Source organism: Homo sapiens, chromosome 1 (assembly GCF_000001405.40).
Source record: "Homo sapiens chromosome 1, GRCh38.p14 Primary Assembly".
Classification (NCBI taxonomy): Eukaryota; Metazoa; Chordata; class Mammalia; order Primates; family Hominidae; genus Homo; species Homo sapiens.
The window spans coordinates 248,044,085-248,063,650 of record NC_000001.11 but is presented as its reverse complement, the minus strand read 5'-3'; the positions used below and the strand labels follow the sequence as shown (position 1 = coordinate 248,063,650).

The 19,566-nt window shown below is 35.9% G+C and overlaps 2 protein-coding genes and 1 long non-coding RNA gene across 5 annotated transcripts in view; 1 reads left to right on the top strand and 2 right to left on the bottom strand.

Moving 5' to 3' along the window:
* The window catches only part of LOC105373275 (uncharacterized), a 47,838-nt gene extending 31,892 nt beyond the window's left edge, over positions 1-15,946 (top strand). For both annotated transcript variants that reach the window (XR_949369.3, XR_949368.3), the window contains one exon: positions 15,723-15,946. This is a non-coding gene — a long non-coding RNA (uncharacterized LOC105373275). The remainder of the gene's footprint in view (positions 1-15,722) is intronic.
* OR2L13 (olfactory receptor family 2 subfamily L member 13) overlaps positions 1-19,566 on the bottom strand; it is a 163,987-nt gene that overhangs the window by 37,513 nt on the left and 106,908 nt on the right. The window lies entirely within an intron of this gene.
* Positions 244-16,815, bottom strand: OR2L3 (olfactory receptor family 2 subfamily L member 3). The gene is made up of 2 exons (NM_001004687.2): positions 16,771-16,815; positions 244-2,990 (listed from the first exon to the last, which is right to left on the bottom strand). Exon 2 carries the CDS (start codon positions 2,967-2,969, stop codon positions 2,031-2,033), a length of 939 nt encoding a protein of 312 aa, NP_001004687.1. The 5' UTR covers positions 2,970-2,990; positions 16,771-16,815; the 3' UTR covers positions 244-2,030.

The following is a 19,566-nucleotide window of genomic DNA, read 5'->3' as shown; positions in this document are numbered from 1 at the left end:
TGCTCTCCCTGGCAGCAGCAAGTGACTCGTGATGGAAGGCCTATTTTCTCTCTGTCCCAAAGCCCCTCCCTGTTGTATTCATGGAATATGACCTAGCTGAGTGAATATCAGGACAGGAAATGCCAGGAAGCTAAGGCAGTAAACTTTGTTAGTAAATCATTACAAAATAAAAATACACACTGCTCATTGCAAAAAAGCACAACAAAGACATAGTCTGATTTATAAAACAAGTTCAAAATTTATGTTTTAACTGCTACAATATGGTAAAACAAATATCCACAGGCTTAGAAATAGAAATGACATTTAAAGAGCATTGCACTATGTAATACTTTACCGTTAACGGTAGTCATGGAAGAGAACACTAGAATGTATTTGTACAAATCACTGGTGAAAGAAAATGAAGAGGAATACAAATGAATGGAAAGAAATCCAATGCTCATGGATTGGAAGAATTAATATTATTTAAATAACCAAACTACAGATTCAATGCAATGTCTATCAAAATACCAATGACATTCTGCACATAAATAGTAAAAACCATTATTTAAGATTTGTATGGAACTATTAAAGAACCCAAATAGTCAAAGCACTGTAGAATAAAAAGAAAAAACTGGAGGCATGAGTACCAAACTTCAAACTATACTACAAACATGGAATAACCAAAACAGAATGGTACTGGCATAAAAACAGACACATAGAACAGTGAAACAGAACAGAGAACCCAGAAATAAATCCATATATCTACAGTGAACTGGTTCTTTTATTTTAATTACTATGGATACATAATAGTAATATATAATTGCGGAGTGTATGTGATGCTTTGATAAAGGCATACAATGCATAATGATCAAATCGGGTTAATCGGGGTAACCATCACCTCAAATATGGTTATTTCTTTGTGTTGGGAACATTCCAATTCCACTCTTTCAGTTATTCTTTAATACATACAATAAATTCTACAATAAATTATTGTTTACTATAGTTACTCTATTGTGCTATCAAATACTCTTATTCATTCTATCTAATTATATTTTTGCAACTATTAGCCATCCCCACTTTATCGTCCCTCCCCTGTACCCTTCCCACCCTCTGGTGACCATCAGTCTCTTCTCTATTTCCACTAGTTCAGTTTTTAAAAATTCTAGCTCTCGCATAGGAGTGAGAACAAGCAAAACCTTTCTGTGCAACTGATTTTTGACAACAGACCCAAGACTGTTCATTGGGAAAAAGACAGTGTCTTCAATATAAGGTGCTGGCAAAACTGGATATTTTTAAGCAGAAAAATGAAAATAAACTCCCAGTCATTACACTATATCCAAATCAACTCAAAACAGGTTAAAGACCTAAATGTAATCATTTTTATTACTGCTGGCATGTTCCAGTCCTTTTGTTGATCTAAAATATACCTAATGTTAAATCATTTCCTGGGATTCATTCCCCTATAAAGAACATAATCTTGTCATAGGCCATCCAGAGTGGTATCAGGACTTAAGAATCCCTGATGAGCTCTCTGCTAAACTGTGTAATGAGTTCCCTAAATTGAAAGAATGAGTAATTGGTACGTTAAGTGTCTAAGATAAGAAAGACAAAACATCTTACAGCTTTCAACTAGATACACCAAGTCAAGAGACTTATTTTTTGTTTTGTTTTAGACATAAACAAAAAAGTAAATTTAAAATTACTGGAAAATAAACTGACCATAAGGAAATTGTTATGCTGAGTGCCAACTTCAGTTAGACCAATTTCATTTCTATTTCTGCATGACCAAAAACAAAAATTCTCATTGACAACATATTAGTAAAAGTAGGTGCTTTCAAAATTTATGGAAACAATGCCATGAAGAAAAAAGGTTGTTTGGAGTTATATATACATATATATGTAAAACAATTTTGTCCAGAAATCAGTGATTTTTTTCTCTTACCTTGATTACTTTTAGCTCCTGAACTCTAGGATTGAAATAATATTTTAATTACTATACACTGCTGGATGGATGTGTATCTGAGTCCTGAGACCTTAGGTAGAAAATGTTTCTACATTTTCCCAGAGCAGATTCTCTGACTCACTCGTGTCAGGGCCCCCATCACCTCCTTGTTCCTCAGGCTATAGATGATGGGGTTGAGCATTGGAGTGAGGGTGGTGTAGAAGACAGCCAGAACCTTGTCCTCTGTTGGAGATCGCAGGGATCTTGGACGTAGATAAGTGTAGACAAAAGGTGCATAGTAGAAAGTTACTACAGTGAGGTGGGTGCTGCAGGTCAGGTAGGCTTTCTTCCTCCCTTCTGCAGATTTCATGTGGTAGACAGCAAGGAGAACCCGGCCATAGGAACATGAAATAGCAATGAAGGGAAACACGAGAAAGATGGTGGTGCTCAAAAACACTGTGCCCTCATAGACCCAGGTGTCCATGCAGGCCAGAGTCACCATTGCTGGGACATCACAGAAGAAATGATTGATGGCCCTGGATTGGCAATAAGGAATATGGAGTACATATACAGTGTGAGCACAAGCATTGATCGAGCCTATGATCCAAGACCCTGTTATCATCAGCACACACATTCTTTTGCTCATGCGGATGGGATAGTGAAGAGGAAAGCAAATAGCAATGTAACGATCATAGGCCATAGATGCCAAAAGTAGTGCTTCTGCACCTCCTAATGCCGAGAAGAAGAAACTCTGAATCCCACACCCAGTGAAGGAGATAGACTTGTTACCAGACAGAAAATCAGATGCCATCTTAGGAACAATGGTGGAGATGTAATTTAGGTCAATGAGGGAGAGCTGACTAAGTAGGAAATACATGGGTGTGTGGAGATGGGTGTCCAAGAAGATGAGAAGAATCATGGATAGGTTTCCAATTAGAGCCATTAGGAAAATGAAAACAATGAGGATGAAGAGGAAAAGGCCAATTCTTGATGGTGGGAAGAATCCTAATAAGATGAAATCAGTTGATGTTTGATTGTAATTTTCCATGGGGCATTCGTGTGCTCTTTCCTGAAGGGAGACACAAGGGTAAGTTAAGCACAGAAATTCGTCTTTATCTGCAGGGAATGCATTTGAAGCCCCTCAGTAAATTCTTGAGACTGGAGTTGACACTGAGCCCTATATACACTATTATTTTCTGTCCACACATACTTCTGATAAAGTTTAATTTTTAAATAAGACAAGTAAGAGATAAACAAGAGTAACTTATAATAAAATAGAATGAATATACAGTATACTATAATACAAATTATGTCAATATGGTCTCTATCTTTCTCTCTCAAAATGTTTTATTGTACTCAGCCTTCTTTGATCTGACTTCTTACCTATTTTGAAAGAGAAATCTTAATTTTTACCTAGAGTTTTACATTTGATGATACCAACATTTGTTACCAGATATTTTTCTGAGAAATATGTAAATTTATAAGAAAGATATCTCTATTACAACTTCAATAGAATAATGTTTTACTGCCTGACACTAATTCAGATATAATCAAAATCAGATGTTATATTGAATACATATGCATAGAAAGTCAGTATAAATGCATACATTTAGATTTATATTTGAAAAATTAGTATTATCTTTATAGGATGATCTATTATCTTTCCATATTTATACTTTTTTTTTTTTTGAGTGACAGGGTCTCTCTCTGTTACCCAGGTGGGAGTGAAGTGGCAATATCATAGCTCACTGCATCCTTGACATTCTGGCTCAAGCAATCCACCTGCCTCAGCCTCCTGAGTAGCTGAGACTACGACCACAAGCCACCATACCTAGTTAACTTTCTATTTTTGTAGACATGAAGTCTTGCTATGTTGCCAGGCTGGTTTTGAACTCTTGGCCTCACCAATCCTCCTGTCTTGGCCTTGCAAATGCTGGGAGTGCAGTCATGAGCTTCCCCACCCAACCCATGTTTATTCTGCCAGATTTACTTCTAAAACTGCAGCAGCCTCTCTGCTATTTTGAGAAACTTGAATGATGTTTGCACAATAATGCCAATTATCAATTATTTAGTCAGTTATCATTTTGTGGTTCATTTATTTAGAAATCCAGAAGGAATCCTTATTGCTATGTCCCTTTAACCAAAGTCATGTTAATTCACGCTCTTGATTTTCAATATTCATCATCATCCATTCTCTTTTGCCTCCTTGCCTAATTTCAAAATTCTCTAGTTAAAGCAGATGCCTTACCAAATAGGTTACACATTTTGTCTTTTCCTTCTCTAGTGCTTAGATAACATTACAGATTGCTTTATGGATCCTTCAAAAGAATGAATTTTGAGGAAAATTCAATCTCTTAAATAAAAAGGGAAACTAGAATTCTGACAAACTTCCGGGTAGAGGTGCGTTAGAAACTCTACTCCAGATAGAAGACATCAGAGAACAACTTTGCACAGTATGCCTAAAAGAACTGGAGTTTTTTAGGCTTAAATATTAGTCTAGAGCCAAATACCACCAGAATTTTGAGCTACTATAACCACGTATACAACTAACATTCACACAGCATGCAAACACACAGAAATATGCATAATCACACATGATCATACTCATAAATACACTGAGATTATAATGATTAAAAATGCAGAAAGAATGAATTGTTGTGATCAGAATTCATATCTTCAGAGATGTATGATATGTTACGAAATCTGTGAAATAAATATCATTTGCTATCTGAAAGGATGCAACAGGTAACATAAAGGACCTTTGAAAATTAAAAATATAATAATTGATAAAAAATATTAAGTGAAAGTTTCAAAAGGCAAAGTAAGAAAAATCTATTAGAAGGTAAACAAAAGCAACAACAATATGAAAAAATTGTAATTTAGGAAAGATAAAAAAAGTAGGGAAATCATATTGGAGGAACAATATGTGCTTAAGGACTTTCTTAGAAATGCATATAGCAAAATAATAATGAAGTTAATATTCTTTAAAAATTTTCTCTGAAATGAAATATATTAACCATCATATTCAAATGGCATGCAAATTCACAAAAATAAGTGAGAAATACTTTCCTGAAAAATATTATATAAAAATTCTATTTCCTCGGAAAAATTTCCTAAAAATTCTAAATATTACCCACAAGACAAATTCTAAAGCTTTTGAAATAAAAGTAATAAATATCAGAAGATATATATATATATAACCAGGTTTTACAATAGTTTATATTTTTTGTATTGTAGCAATAAATTCCATAAGATGAAATGATGTTGTCAACCCCTTGGTGCAGACATAAGGTGTAATGCAGTTCTGCTGTGACAATGGGAGAAGTGTAAGGAACCTGGGGGTGATGACGGAGGAGGGAGCAGTTACTATCCATGGGGGTCTGTATCATGGATCAAGGAATGATATTTGAGATATAGAAAATCAAGCATTATCAGATGAATGTATTGTCTGAAAATACATGGACAAATATGAGGGAAAACTGAAAAGATAATTTGAAGTCCTTGCCTTTGGGGTCAGCAAGAGTTTGTTATGTTTCTAACATTTTACCCTGTGGTCTGCTGAGACCATGTCTATGCATTTCTTTCATAAAACATTAAAGTGATGTAAAAATTATGTGACAGTTGGGATTTTAACCCACAGCTTCATCATAATAATGAAAGACTGGCAGCTTTGACTCTAAGATTTGCAACAAGACACGGAAGTCCACTTTCTCTGCATCTACTTAACACATTACTGCAAGTTCAGTCAAAACAATTAAACAAGAAAAGAAATAAAAATTATCTTATTTCAAAAGAAAGAACTAAAATTATTTCTGTTTGCATATGACATAATTATATATGTAGAAAACTTAGGATAAATAATAAATAAAATTAGCAAAATTACAGGATGCAACATCAACAACCAGAATCTGTTGTAATTCTATACACTAACAAAGAACAATCTGAAAACTACACTCTGATTTTATTTCCAATAGTAACAAAAAGAAATAAAACACTTAAGAATAAACCTAACCAAGGAGTTAAAAACTTTATACATTGAAAATGAGAAAATGCTGATTAGAGCTATTAAAGAAGACACGAATAAATGGAAATGCATCCTATATATTTATCAATTGGAAGGGTTAATACTGTTAAGATGTCAACAACAGCCAAAGTCACCCATTGATGTGCTGTATTCAAGAGACACATCTTATGTGCAAAGATGCACACAGACTCAAAATAAAGGAATAGAGAAAAATTTACCAAGCAAAAGGAAAAAAGGAAAAAGCAGTGGTAGCAATCCTAGTTTCTGACAAAACAGATTTTAAACCAACAAAGGTCAAAAAAGACAAAGAAGGGCATTACATAATGTAAAAGAGTTCAATTCGACAAAAATTTCTAACCATTGTAAATATTTATGAACCCAATACAGGAGCATCCAGATTCATAAAACAAGTTCCTAGAGACCTACAAAGAGACTTAGACCCCTACACAATAATAGTGAGAGACTTTAATACCCCACCGTCACTATTAGATAATTGAGACAGAAAATTAACAAAGATATTCAGGACTTGAACTCAGCTCTAGATCATGTGGACCTGATAGATGTCTACAGAACTCTCCTTCCCAAAACAACAAAATACAAAATTTTGTCTTGGCACCTTATGGCACTTACTCTAAAACTATCGCATAATTGGAAGTAAAACTCTCCTCAGCAAATACAAAAGAACTGAAATCATAACAAACAGTCTCTCAGACCACAGCACAATCAAATTATAACTCAAGATTAAAGCCCCCTCAAGGCCAGGCACAGTGGCTCACGACTGTAATCCCAGCACTTTGGGAGGCCAAGGCGGGCAGATTGCCTGAGCTCAGGAGTTTCTGACAAGCCTGGGCAACACAGTGAAACCCTGTGTCTACTAAAATCCAAAAAAATTTAGCCGAGTATGGTGGCGTGTACCAGCAGTCCCAGCTACTCAAGAGGCCGAGGCAGGAGAATTGCTTGAACCCAGGAGGCAAAAGTTGAAGTGAGCAGAGATCACACCATTGCACTCCAGCCATCTAAAAAAAAAAAAAAAGCCCCCTCAAAACCACACAACTACAGGGAAATAGAACAACCTGCTCCTGAATGACTCCTGTCTAAATAATAAAATTAAGGCAGAAATGAAGAAGTTCTTTAAGACCAAAGAAAGCAAAGAGACAACTCATCAGAATCTCCGGGATGCAGAGAAATCAGTGTTAAGAGGGACATTTATTGCACTAAATGCACAAAGCAAAAAGCTAGAAAGATCTCACATCGACACCCTAACATCACAACTAAAAGAACTAGAGAGCCAAGAGCAAACAAACCCCAGAACTAGCAGAACACAAGAAATAACCAAGATCAGGGTGGAACTGAAGGAGATGGAGACCCACAAAAACCCTTCAAACAATGAATCCAGGAGCTGGTTTTTGAAAAAAAAATCAATAAACTAGGTAGACCACTATCAAGACCAACATGGCACATGTATACATATGTAACTAACCTGCACGTTGTACACATGTACCCTAAAACTTAAAGTATAATAAAAAAAGAATAATAAAGATGTAAAGAGAGAAGATTCCAATGAACACAATCAGAAACAATAAGGGAAATACCACCACCAACCCCACAGGAACACAAACAACCAACAGAGAATACTAAAAGCACCTCTATGCAAATAAACAGGAAAATCTAGAAGAAATGGATAAATTCCTGGACACATAAACCTTCCCAACACTGAACCAGGAAGAATTTGAATCCCTAAATAGACCAATAACAAGTTCTGAAATTGAGGCAATAATAAATAGCTTACCAAAGGAAAAAAAGCCCAGGTTCAGATGGATTACAGCTGAATTCTACCAGAGGTAAAAAGAGGAGCTGTTATCATTTCTTCTGAAACTTTTCCAAACAATTGAAAAGGAGGGACTCCACCCTAAATCATTTTTTTCCTTGAGACGGAGTCTCACTGTCATCCAGTCTCACAATCACCCAGGTGATGATGTCACCTACAGTGGCACAATCTCAGCTCACTGCGACCTTCGCCTCCTGGGTTTAAGTGATTCACATGCCTCAGCCTCCAGAGTAGCTGGAACAACAGGCACACAACACCATGCCTGGCTAATTTTTTGTATTTTTAGTAGAGATAGGGTTTCACGAAGTTGGCCAGGCTGGTCTCGAACTCCAGACTTCTGTTGATCCACCTGCCTTGGCCTTCCAGAGTGCTGGGATTACAGGCATGAGTCACCATGCCCAGCCCACACTAACTCATTTTATGAGGCCAGCATCATCCTGCTTCCAAAACCCAGCAGAGACATAACAAAAAAAAAAGAAAACTTTGTGCCAATATCCCTGATGAACAATGCAATGCAAACATACTCAATATAATACTGACAAATTGAATCCAGCAGCACATCAAAAAGCTTCTCCATCACAATCAAGTCAGCTTCATCCCCTGGATGCAAGCTGGTTGTACATACACAAATCAATGAATGTAATCCATCACATAAACAGAACTAAAGACAAAAACTACATGATTATCTCAATAGACACAGAAAAGGCTTTCAAAAAAATTCGACTTCCCTTCATGTTAAAAACTCTCAACAAATTAGGTATTTAAGGAACATACATCAAAATAATAAGAGCCATTTATGACAAACCCACAGCCAATATTGTACTGAATGGGCAAAAACTGGAAGCATTCCCTTTGAAAATTAGCACAAGACAAGGATGCAATCTCTCATGACTCTTATTCAATGTAGTGTTGGAAGGTATGACCAGGGCAATCAATCAAAGGAAATAAAGAAAGGGTATGCAAATAGGAAGAAAGGAAGTCAAATTGTCTTTGTTTCAGATGATATGATTCTATCTAGAAAACCAGACTGACTCAGCCCAAAGGCTTCTTAAGCTGATAAGCAAATTCATCAAACTCTCAGGATACAAAATCAATGTGCAGAAATCTCAAGCAATCCTACACTCCAGCAACAGACAGGCAGAAAGCCAAATCATGAATGATCTCCCATTCATAATTGCCACAAAGATAATAAAATACCTGGGAATACAGCTAATAAGGGAAGTGAAGGACCTATTCAAAGAGAACTACAAACCATTGTTCAAGGAAATCACAAAGGACACAAGCAGAGGGAAAAACATTCCATACTCATGGATAGGAAGAATCAATATTGTGAAAATGGCCATACCGCCCAAAGCAATTTATAGATACAATGCTATTCCAATAAATACCATTGATATTCTTCACAGAATTAGAAAAAAAGAACTATTTTAAAATCATATGGAACCAAAAAAGAGCTTGCATAGCCAAAGAACAAAGCTGGAGGCATCAGGCTACCCGACTGCAAACTATACTACAAAGCTACAGTAACATAAACTTATGGTACTGGTACAAAAACAAGCACATAGACCAATGGAACAGAATAGAAAACTCAGAAATAAAACTGCACATCTACAACCATCTGATCTTCAACAAACTGGAAAAAAACAAGCAACGGGGAAAAGATTCCCTATTTAATAAATGGTGCTGGGAGAACTGGCTAGCCATATGCAGAAAATAGAAACTGGATTCCTTCCTTACACCTTACACAAAAATTAACTCAAGATGGATTAAAGACTGAAATGTAAAACCCAAAACTATAAAAGCCCTAGAAGAAAATCTAGGCAATATCATTCAGGAAGTAGGCATGGGAAAGGATTTTATGACAAAGACTCCAAAAGCAATTGCAACAATAGCAAAAATTGACAAATGGGATCTAACTAAACTAAAGAGCTTCTACACAGCAACCAAAACTATCACCAGAATGAACAGATAACCTACAGAATGGGAGAAAATTATTGCAATCTATCCATCTGACAAAGATCTAATTCCAGAATCTACAAAGAACTTAAGCAAATTTACAAGAAAAGAACAAACAACCCCATTAAAATTGCGCAAAGGACATGAAAAGACATTTCTCAAAAAAAAGACATAGGTATGGCCAACAAACATATTTTAAAAAGCACAACATCACTGATCATTGGAGAAATGCAAATCAAAACCATAATTAGATACCATCTGCTGCCGATCAGAATGGCAATTATTAAAAAGTCAAGAAACAACAGATGCTAGTGAGGCTGTGAAATAGGAATAGGAATGCTTTCACACTGTTGGTGGGAATGTAAATTAGTTCACCCATCGTGGAAGACAGTGTGGCAATTCCTCAAAGACTTAGAACTGGAAATACCATTTGATCCGGCATTCCCGTTACTGGGTGTATACCCAAAGGAATATAAATTATTCTATTATAAAGGTACTGGCATGTGTATGTTCATTGCAGCACTATCCACAATAGCAAAAACATGGAATCAACCCAAATGTCCATTAATGATAGACTGAATAAAGAAACTGTGGTACATATACACAATGGAATACTATACAGCCATAAAAAATAATAAGATCATGTCCTTTGCAAGGACATGGATGAAGCTGGAAGCCATTATCCTCAGCAAACTAATGCAGGAACAGAAAACTAAATACTGCATATTCTCGCTTATAAGTGGGAGCTGAACAATGAAAACACATTGACACAGGAAGAGAACAACACTTACTGGGGCCTGTTGTGGGAGGGCGGTGGAGGGGAGAGCATTAGGGAAAAGAGCTAGTGCATGCTGGGCTTAATACCTAGGTGATGGATTGATACGTGCAGCAAATCACCATGGCACACGTTTACCCATGAAACAAAACTGCTCTTCCTGCACATATACCCTGGAACTTAAAAACAAACAATAAAATAATTATTAAAAATAAAAATAAAAAGTGTACAAAGCCAAAAAAATTAGTAGAATCTCTATCAAAATTAAAATGATAAATTTTTTTTTTCAGAAACAGAAAAGCCCATTCTAAAATTTATATGAATCTTAAAGAATCCTCAGTAGTCAAAAAATCTTGACTTTTTTGGAAAAAGAACAAAATTTAAAGACTCATACAATCTGATTTTTTTTTCTTTTTGAGATGGAGTCTCACTCTGTCGCCCAGGCTGGAGTGCAGTGGCACCATCTCAGGTGACTACAAGCTCCACCTCCCAGATTCACACCATTCTCCTGGCTTAGCCTCCTGAGTAGCTGGGACTACAGGTGCCCGCCACCACGCCCAGCTAATTTTTTTTTGTATTTTTAGTAGAGATGGGGTTTCACCATGTTAGCCAGCATGGCCTCAACCTCCTTACCTTGTGATCTGCCCGGCTCGGCCTCCCAAAGTGCTGGGATTACCGGCATGAGCCACCGCACCAGGCCATATACTTTCTGATTTTAAAACTTACTCGAAGCTATAGTAATCAAAACAATGTGGCAATGGCACCAGACATATAGCTCAACAGTATAAAACAGAGTCAAGAAATAGCCTCTCATATACATGGTAACCTTTTTTCAAAAAGGAACTAAGTCCACTCAGTGGAGATGGAACAATCTTTTAAATAAATGGTGTTTGGAAAAGTGGATATTTACATTCAAGATATTGAAGTTGGATGTTTATACCATATTGAAAAATTAAGTCAAAATGAATAAAAATCCTAAATGCAAGAGATAAAACTATAAAGAATTGTTGGTGAAAATGTCGAATAATAAAGGCACTGTGGAAAATGATACAGCTGCTTCTCAACTTGCAGTGGAGTTTCACCTTTACAAACCCACTGCAAGTTGAAAAAATTGTAAGTAAAAATGCATTTAATATCTGCATAAAGTCATCATAATGTCAAAAATTGCAAGTCAAAGCATCATATGTCCAGGTATTCCTCAATTTACAATGTGGTTATGTTCCTATAAACTCATCATAAAGTCAAAAATCATCAAATTATTGTAAACCTGGAACCATCTGCATTGTAATTCCTCCAAAACTTAAACATAGAATAAGTATATGATCCAACAATTTTAGTTCTGAATGAAATAAATAAAATAATAAATAAATAAATAAAATAAAAGCAGACACTTGAACAGACATTTTTGGATTTTTTTTTATTCAGGGAGTACAATCGTGGTTTGTTACATGGATATGTTGCATGATGCTGAGGTTTGGGCTTCTGTTGAACCCTTCACTAAAATAATGAACATAGCACAAATAGGTAGCTTTCCAACCCTTGCCTCCTCCCTCACTCTCCTCTTTTGGAGTCCCCAGTGTCTACTGTTCCCATCTTTATGTCCATGTGTACCCAATGCTTAGCTCCCAATTATACCTGAGAACATGCAGTATTTGTTATTCTGTTTTTGCATCAAACAAATATTTCTATTCCCATGTTCATAGCAATACTATTCACAATAGCCCAAAGGCAGAAACAAAGCAAGTGGTCATCAACAAAGAAATCAATATAAATATAGTATGTATATACAATTTTTAAAAGCGAAGAAATTTTGACACATGCTACAACATGGATGAAGCTTGAATACATTATGCTAAGTGAAATAAGTCTGTCACAAAAAGACAAATATTGTAAGAATTCACTTACATGAAGTACCCACAGTAGTGAAATTCACAGAGATGGAAAGTGGAATGGTGGACCCTGGAGGATAGGGGAAGGGAAAGAAGGAGAGTAATTGTTTAACAAAAACAAAGTGTTAGTTGGAGACAATGAAATTGTTTTGGAGACAGGTGCATGGTAGTGATGGTTGCACAACAATATATGTACTTAATGACACAGAATTCTACACTTAAAATGGTTAAAATGGTGTTCCTCTTAAGTATATTTGCACTAATAAAAGATCCCTTAAATGTACTGAAACTATTCCAATTTGGATTTCCAAATACATTTTTTAAACATCTTGGCAGGTTTCTAAGCCATGGCAGAGCAATTTATTTTCAGTAATTTTATGACATTGCTAATTTTTGAAAAAAAATTTAGAAGAGCAAATTTTCATAAATGTCATTTGGAATCAAGATGAGATTGGCATTAAGATTAATCCAATACTCCGTAATTTATATTACTAGTATAATTATTGGTAAGTAGAATATGTAATATTTGAAATTGTTAACACAATTAACAGTTCAAACATTTGTATCATTTGTGTTTTACATAGGACTCTCTATGACAAACTGTCCAAGAAATAGTTAACATTATCCTAATTTTAAAGAAAAAAATAACATAGAACAGCATAATAAATGGCACATCACATCTGATAGTTAATGCCATGTTTTATGACTGCCAATGTATCATCTTTTTATTATCCATGTTCCAGTGTTCTAATATTCTAATGTCCTATTATATAATATTATTTAAATAAAATTAAAGGCTGGTTCCTGACAGGAAAGCAGCCTCAGCCATGATGTTCCTGTTTCAATAATGTGAAGAAGATATTTTTTCTTATGTAAAAATAAATCCAAATGGATTATTTCTGGCCCTTTTACTTTTGTATTAACAGAATTAGCTATAAGGAAGGTATTTTAGCCTATTAAGAAACATCTTCACTTGCTTTTACTTTTTTTTTTTCACTAAAAATTCAGTATGCAGGCATAAGCATTAATGACAGAATACACAGGAGGAAAGAACGAGCAGAAAAAGTCCTGGTCACTATTTCAGAGTGAGTAGGACCCACAAACCTGAAACCTGAACTACGTCTCATGTGAAAGGCAGGAGGGAGGCGTGAACTTTCACAGACTCTCTCCACACATTGGCACCTGGAACGTCACAGGATTCGTTCCGTGATTCTATTGGAGTTCATCAAAATAACTCTTCAGATAGGTATCGCCACTGATATTTTATAGATGACAAAACTGAGATTCAGAGATTTTCAGTAAACTCCTCTAGATCCACAAACACACATACATATATGCATATATACATATATACATACATATCTGTGAATAAATGTGACATCTAGATAAATAAACGTACATTAATATAAACCTTTTAAAAATGTGTGGTGTAGTTCATCCCTCAAAATTTTTTGGCAGTAAATCTGAAATAAGGCTGGTTCAGTTTTTAATCAGTCAAAACAAAAATAATAGAAAAAAATTATTAAAACAAAAACTCCACATAAGTGTTAAATAATTGAGAAAGTATAAGAAATGTAAAACAAGTAGGATTTTTTAATGATTAAAATTTACTCATTACAAATCTTTTTCCGTTTCCTCGTATCACCCAGTTTTACTGTACTTTCACTTCACCTGGCAACTATTATGTAGCTTCACAGAAAAATGGTTTCTCAGAAACTCTAAATGAAAGATATTTTCTATCTTGCTCCCAATGTAAAAGATTCCCTACTGGAAGAATTCAGTTATAAAAAAACACCCATATAATCTCCTCTGTAAATCAAGTTGAGGATGTACATATTCAACGTAATATTTACGACTCTCCAAATGCTGCCCAAGTTTCAAATGAAGAACCTATTACTAACTTTTGAAGTCAAAAAGCATCATTGCATTGCATGGATCTCTTTCCTATCCTTCAATTTAGAGTTGAAAGTGAGATGAAGAAAGTAGCCTAATTTAGTGATTCATATACTCAGAGAAGACAAAGATTTTTCAAACATAGTCTCATTATCACAAGGAAGAAAAACTGAATCACAAGATTTGAAGAGAGTTATTCACGACTGTGCAGTGACCTAGTGACAGAGTTGGGAACCAAGGAGGATGGTCGTCTTGAGTCCAGATACTGCAGTTTTCCACGGAGGCACAGATTTTACTCCCTATATTTTCCTCACCTTTGATCAAAGCTATTCTCAAAGAAAAAATTATTATTCATCACAATATAAGGCTGGTCTCCTTAAAGTTGGTATGATCATTTGCATAGGTGCAGAAAACGTGTGGATTTACCAAAAAAAAAAAAAAGAGAGAGAGAAAAGGAAAGAAAAAGCTGGGGAGGCAGGGGCACAAGTTGGCTTTGCTGGAAGTTTTATAAAAAATCAGACTGAAGTTTTAAAAGTCTCCCAAATCCAAGACATTCTTTATGGAGTTTTCCAGAATCTGGTTTACTTCCTGTCTTCTGAAGCGATATCTAAAATATACAAAAGTTCTGAATCTCTGAAACTTCCAGAAACTGATCTCCGTTACTTGCACATAGGGCTGGGAAATGGTGGAACAGGTGACAGTGTCAGTTTCACTGCAAAAGCTGAGAACTCATTGACTCCATGAGTCAACCTTAATTCCTTAAAACAAGCTGTCTGTACCTGAATCTGCATGTCTACAGTAAGAATTATTTCACATTGACAACACTTGTCTAGAATGTCAATCAGATGACACAAAAGAGTGTCTTCTGGAGTATAGACAAGGACAGCTCTCCACAGCATCCTGGCATGGAATCCTACAGGAGATTCCTCCTTCCTTCAAGTTCCTCCACAATAGATTCTCCTAAGAAGAGACACAGTACATAATGTTGTATTTGACTGACTTAGGAATAACTGATCTTATTTAATATTTACACAATGTGTATTTGTAATTGTTGAGAAGGGTATGAAGTTGGAGAACCACAACTCTTTAAGGTGTAAAGGAGTAAAGAATATAAAGTGAATATTTGCTTTATATGTGTGTATGTGTGCTTCCAAGTCACATCCTGCCATTGAGGTCCACGATGGTGCATCAGCTCTCACAGATAGATACACAGGTAAGTGGGCAGACAGACATTTCCATGGCTAGACAGAAACTGATTATGAAAGTATATCCTTTGACTGTTATTTTGGAATGAGGACGTGCTTACTCTGCTTCACGCTGTAAGTTCACGGGACAGAGACTCCATTTAAAATAAATCGAATTCTACCTCTTACAATTACTAAAAATGTAAGCTTTTGTTGCTGAATGTCTGACCCTGTATCTTATAATTACAACAGGGAGAAGAATCCATGGGTTATTAGAAGCTGTGACATAGTGACTGTGTATTACTTGACTGGGTGTATCACTGAAGAGAACCTGCAAGTTTCAGCATCTTCATCATTATCATTGCCAGCATCATCAACATAATCACTATCACTTACACTCACACACTTCTTATCCGCTATGACTGTAGAGTAATATAGCCTTCACATTGTTTCCACATACTATGCTCATTTGCTTCTCACAAAACTCTGTGTGGTTGTTAAGGCAGCTATTTCTATAATTTCACTGGAAGTTTACCTTGTGTCCCGAAAGAAAAAATAAATACATTGTAAAAGTTAAAAGCACAAAACACTACAATTTGGATCAAGTTGCGTGTAAAAACAAAATCTGGATACCTATAGCACAGCTACTAATCATACGGTTACCTTCATTATTGATTTCCAGAAGAACATCCTTCTTTTAAGAAAATATATCATTGCACTGAAGACTGGTGATTTTAACCATTCTCGTTGTACCTTTACTTTAATGCCCCTTTAACATTTTTATGCAAAAACAACACTAATACTTTCCAGGCATTTCATTAGAAACACTGGATTCATATAAGGTAAAATACAAAGTGAGAAGTAGCAATAAGATTATAATGAGCATCATATAATCACTCATCATTCATGGCAAAAGAAATCAAACCAAAATAGCACAAAACACCAGCCAAGTAGGAATGAGGAAATGCTGCCCCCTACAATCATTATTATGAATGTGGGTTCTTTAATTTCACTTGAGCTCATAAAAGCATAGTCTAATATAATGTATCCCTGTCTCTTCAATTGACCATCATTTACCTTCCCGTCCAGAAAACACATTTATGAATTAGGTTCAAAACCATTTTTGGTTGTGTGCATTTCATACTCCAAGATTCCTGCTGAATGGTGTTATAGAAAGTACAGTTATTAGTGCTGAAATTCACCTCAATTCTATTTCTGAAAAAAGGTCTCTTAAGCACTTGCCAGAGTTCCTTCTTCCCTGTAATCAATAAAAATTTAAAAATACAATTATAATTAGTACCTTTATTATTTCCTCATTTCCAAACACTCACTGCCTTTGCTTAGCTTACGGCAGTCCTACAGTCATCATAGAAACAAATACATGGTTTTTAAAGAAATGTGTATATTGGTTTTTCATCCCTGCATGTGAGATTTCAGAGACCTCCATGGGGATTCGGTAGCAATCATGAATCCAGTCCTTCTTTACCTGGAGAATGAGATTAACAGTTGTTTTGCTGATATTCACTGGGGATTGTCCAGTGAGACTTTGGACATTCTAGGCTGAGTCACTAATACAGAGGGTGGCCTTAGTCCAAGGTTCAGATATGAGTTCTGATCATGTATTTAGATGTTTCAAGGCATGTCAAGGGTAAACTCAGTGGAGAAAGAAACAAATATATTTATTCACATTATGTCAATGTTATTGTGTTTCTAAACTTCATGAAACTCCATAGCCTGAATGTTGTTATTCAGGCATCCACAGTAACAATGCGTCTGCATTCATTAATTTCTTTCTCCGTTTGGTTTATATTGGCAGTAAGATTTAAACCACTAAAATAGAATGAGGTTAATTTTATAGAAACACATAAGTAGAAATTATTAAAATATCGCATACATGGGAGTTATCTATTAACATATTTTGGGTATTAAACATGTTCAAATTGTTTCCTTTCATTTGGAAATGCTCATTAAATTGAAAAGCTATTTTCTCCTATTAAATTAGATGACCTAATGATGTTACTACTCTTGTTTTATTAATATTTAGAAAATATTTATTAATTGAATTGAATTTTTACTCAGTAGAGTACTTTAAATGTTCTCGAATTTCTTACTGTTTATAGCAAATGAATTAATTATACCATCTATCTGAGAAAAGTGATATTGGTTCATTTTAATTTTTTTGAGTTTTAAAAATATTTGAATTTTTTAAACATGTATTGATTGATAAATTGTACTTTGACATATATTGATATATATTTTGACATATTTATTGTGATACATATTTTGATATGTATAGGCTAGTCAGGTGAAGCAGTGGCAGTGGAGAAGGAACCAAGAAACCTGTAACTAGTTGTGATCAATTAGTTGTAAACACCACTACACTCCGACCAGCCAATTTAATTTACTGATGCATGTATATGTTTTATAATTATCCAGTCAGCATAGTTAGTGTACAGTCTTGGCAAGGACAATTTCCTGAAAGTCAAAGTGTGCAGATGTTTCAATATTCCCGCATTTGAAAAGCTGAAGAATTCCTTTCTTAAGTTTACAACCGTGATTTTTAACGTAATAGTAGGTGCCATGTCTAGTGCAACCAGGTAACTGTTTTCACATCTTCAAAAGACAGAAGACAAAACCTATTTGCGCTGAAAGAGGAGATAAGAATCCTTATTTGATGCGGTAAGACAGACTTCAAGGGAATTTCTGTAAAAAAGAAAGACTTTTAGGTTTACCTCAAAACTACCCACGAGGGTCAAGTATGCAAATATGGTGGATATGAGTCAGCAACTTACTCTTGAAATACGCTACTTCTCCCTGAGGGTGTTCTGGAAGCAGTAATTGACTATTTCACATATCTACAGTAGAAAGCACAAAACCAAGCATAGAGTAGGTCAAAACTTGGTTTATTCTGAAAGAAGAGATTAGAATGAGGAACGTAAATAAAACTGGGCTGTTTATTTTACATTTTTAAATGTCTGTGTTCAGTGCAATTGAATTATTCATTAAATCACATAGTTCTTTAATTTCATAGTCATATTTACTTATTAAGAAACCCCATTCTATGTCCCAAAGATACAAGATTCAGATGATAACCATTTATGTCAAATCTGTTGTAAAAGAGCAAGAGACAGTGGCACAGGCCTGTAATTCCACCTATGGGGAGACTGAGGCAGGAGGATTGTTACAGGCCCACAGGGTTCAATTGCCCATGGAGTGGTAGCAGACCAAAACACCAAAACAGTGGGAGTTGCAGCAGAGAAAGTTTAATAATCATAGGTCAGCTGAAGGAGGAAGAGAAAGGGAGCTTCAAATCAGCCTTCTGGAGACACTTGGGGAAGGCGTTTTTTTTTTTTTTTTTTTTTTTTTTTTTTGAGACGGAGTTTCGCTCTGTCGCCCAGGTCGGACTGCGGACTGCAGTGGCGCAATCTCGGCTCACTGCAAGCTCCGCTTCCCGGGTTCACGCCATTCTCCTGCCTCAGCCTCCCGAGTAGCTGGGACTACAGGCGCCCGCCACCGCGCCCGGCTAATTTTTTGTATTTTTAGTAGAGACGGGGTTTCACCTTGTTAGCCAGGATGGTCTCGATCTCCTGACCTCATGATCCACCCGCCTCGGCCTCCCAAAGTGCTGGGATTACAGGCGTGAGCCACCGCGCCCGGCCGGGGAAGGCGTTTTTAAGGAGTCCGGATGCGTGATGAGCTAAAGTGTGGGTATTGCTGATTGGTGGAGAGTGAGTGGTGACGTCATGAGACAGGGAGATGAAGACGCTGCATCCTGCACTGAGTCAGTTTCTTAGACAAGTTAACTTTGAGCAACCAGCATTCTACTCTGTTTCTATGTATTCCATTTATTTTTAGGCCCAATATATAAGGGAGATCATGTAGTATTTTTCTTTTTGTGTCTGAAAGCCAGTCTGGATTGAAGGACAGAAAAAAGAGAAACTGAGATTTGCACTGGGAGGCTACAATCTTGGTAACATAATTATTGTCCACTCGTTTTGTCAGAGGCTTTTGAACCAGAGCGACTCCACCTTGAGTGAGGGCTGGAAAATGAGCCGGGGACTTGCTGGGCTGCATTCCCAGAAAGTTTGGTATTCCT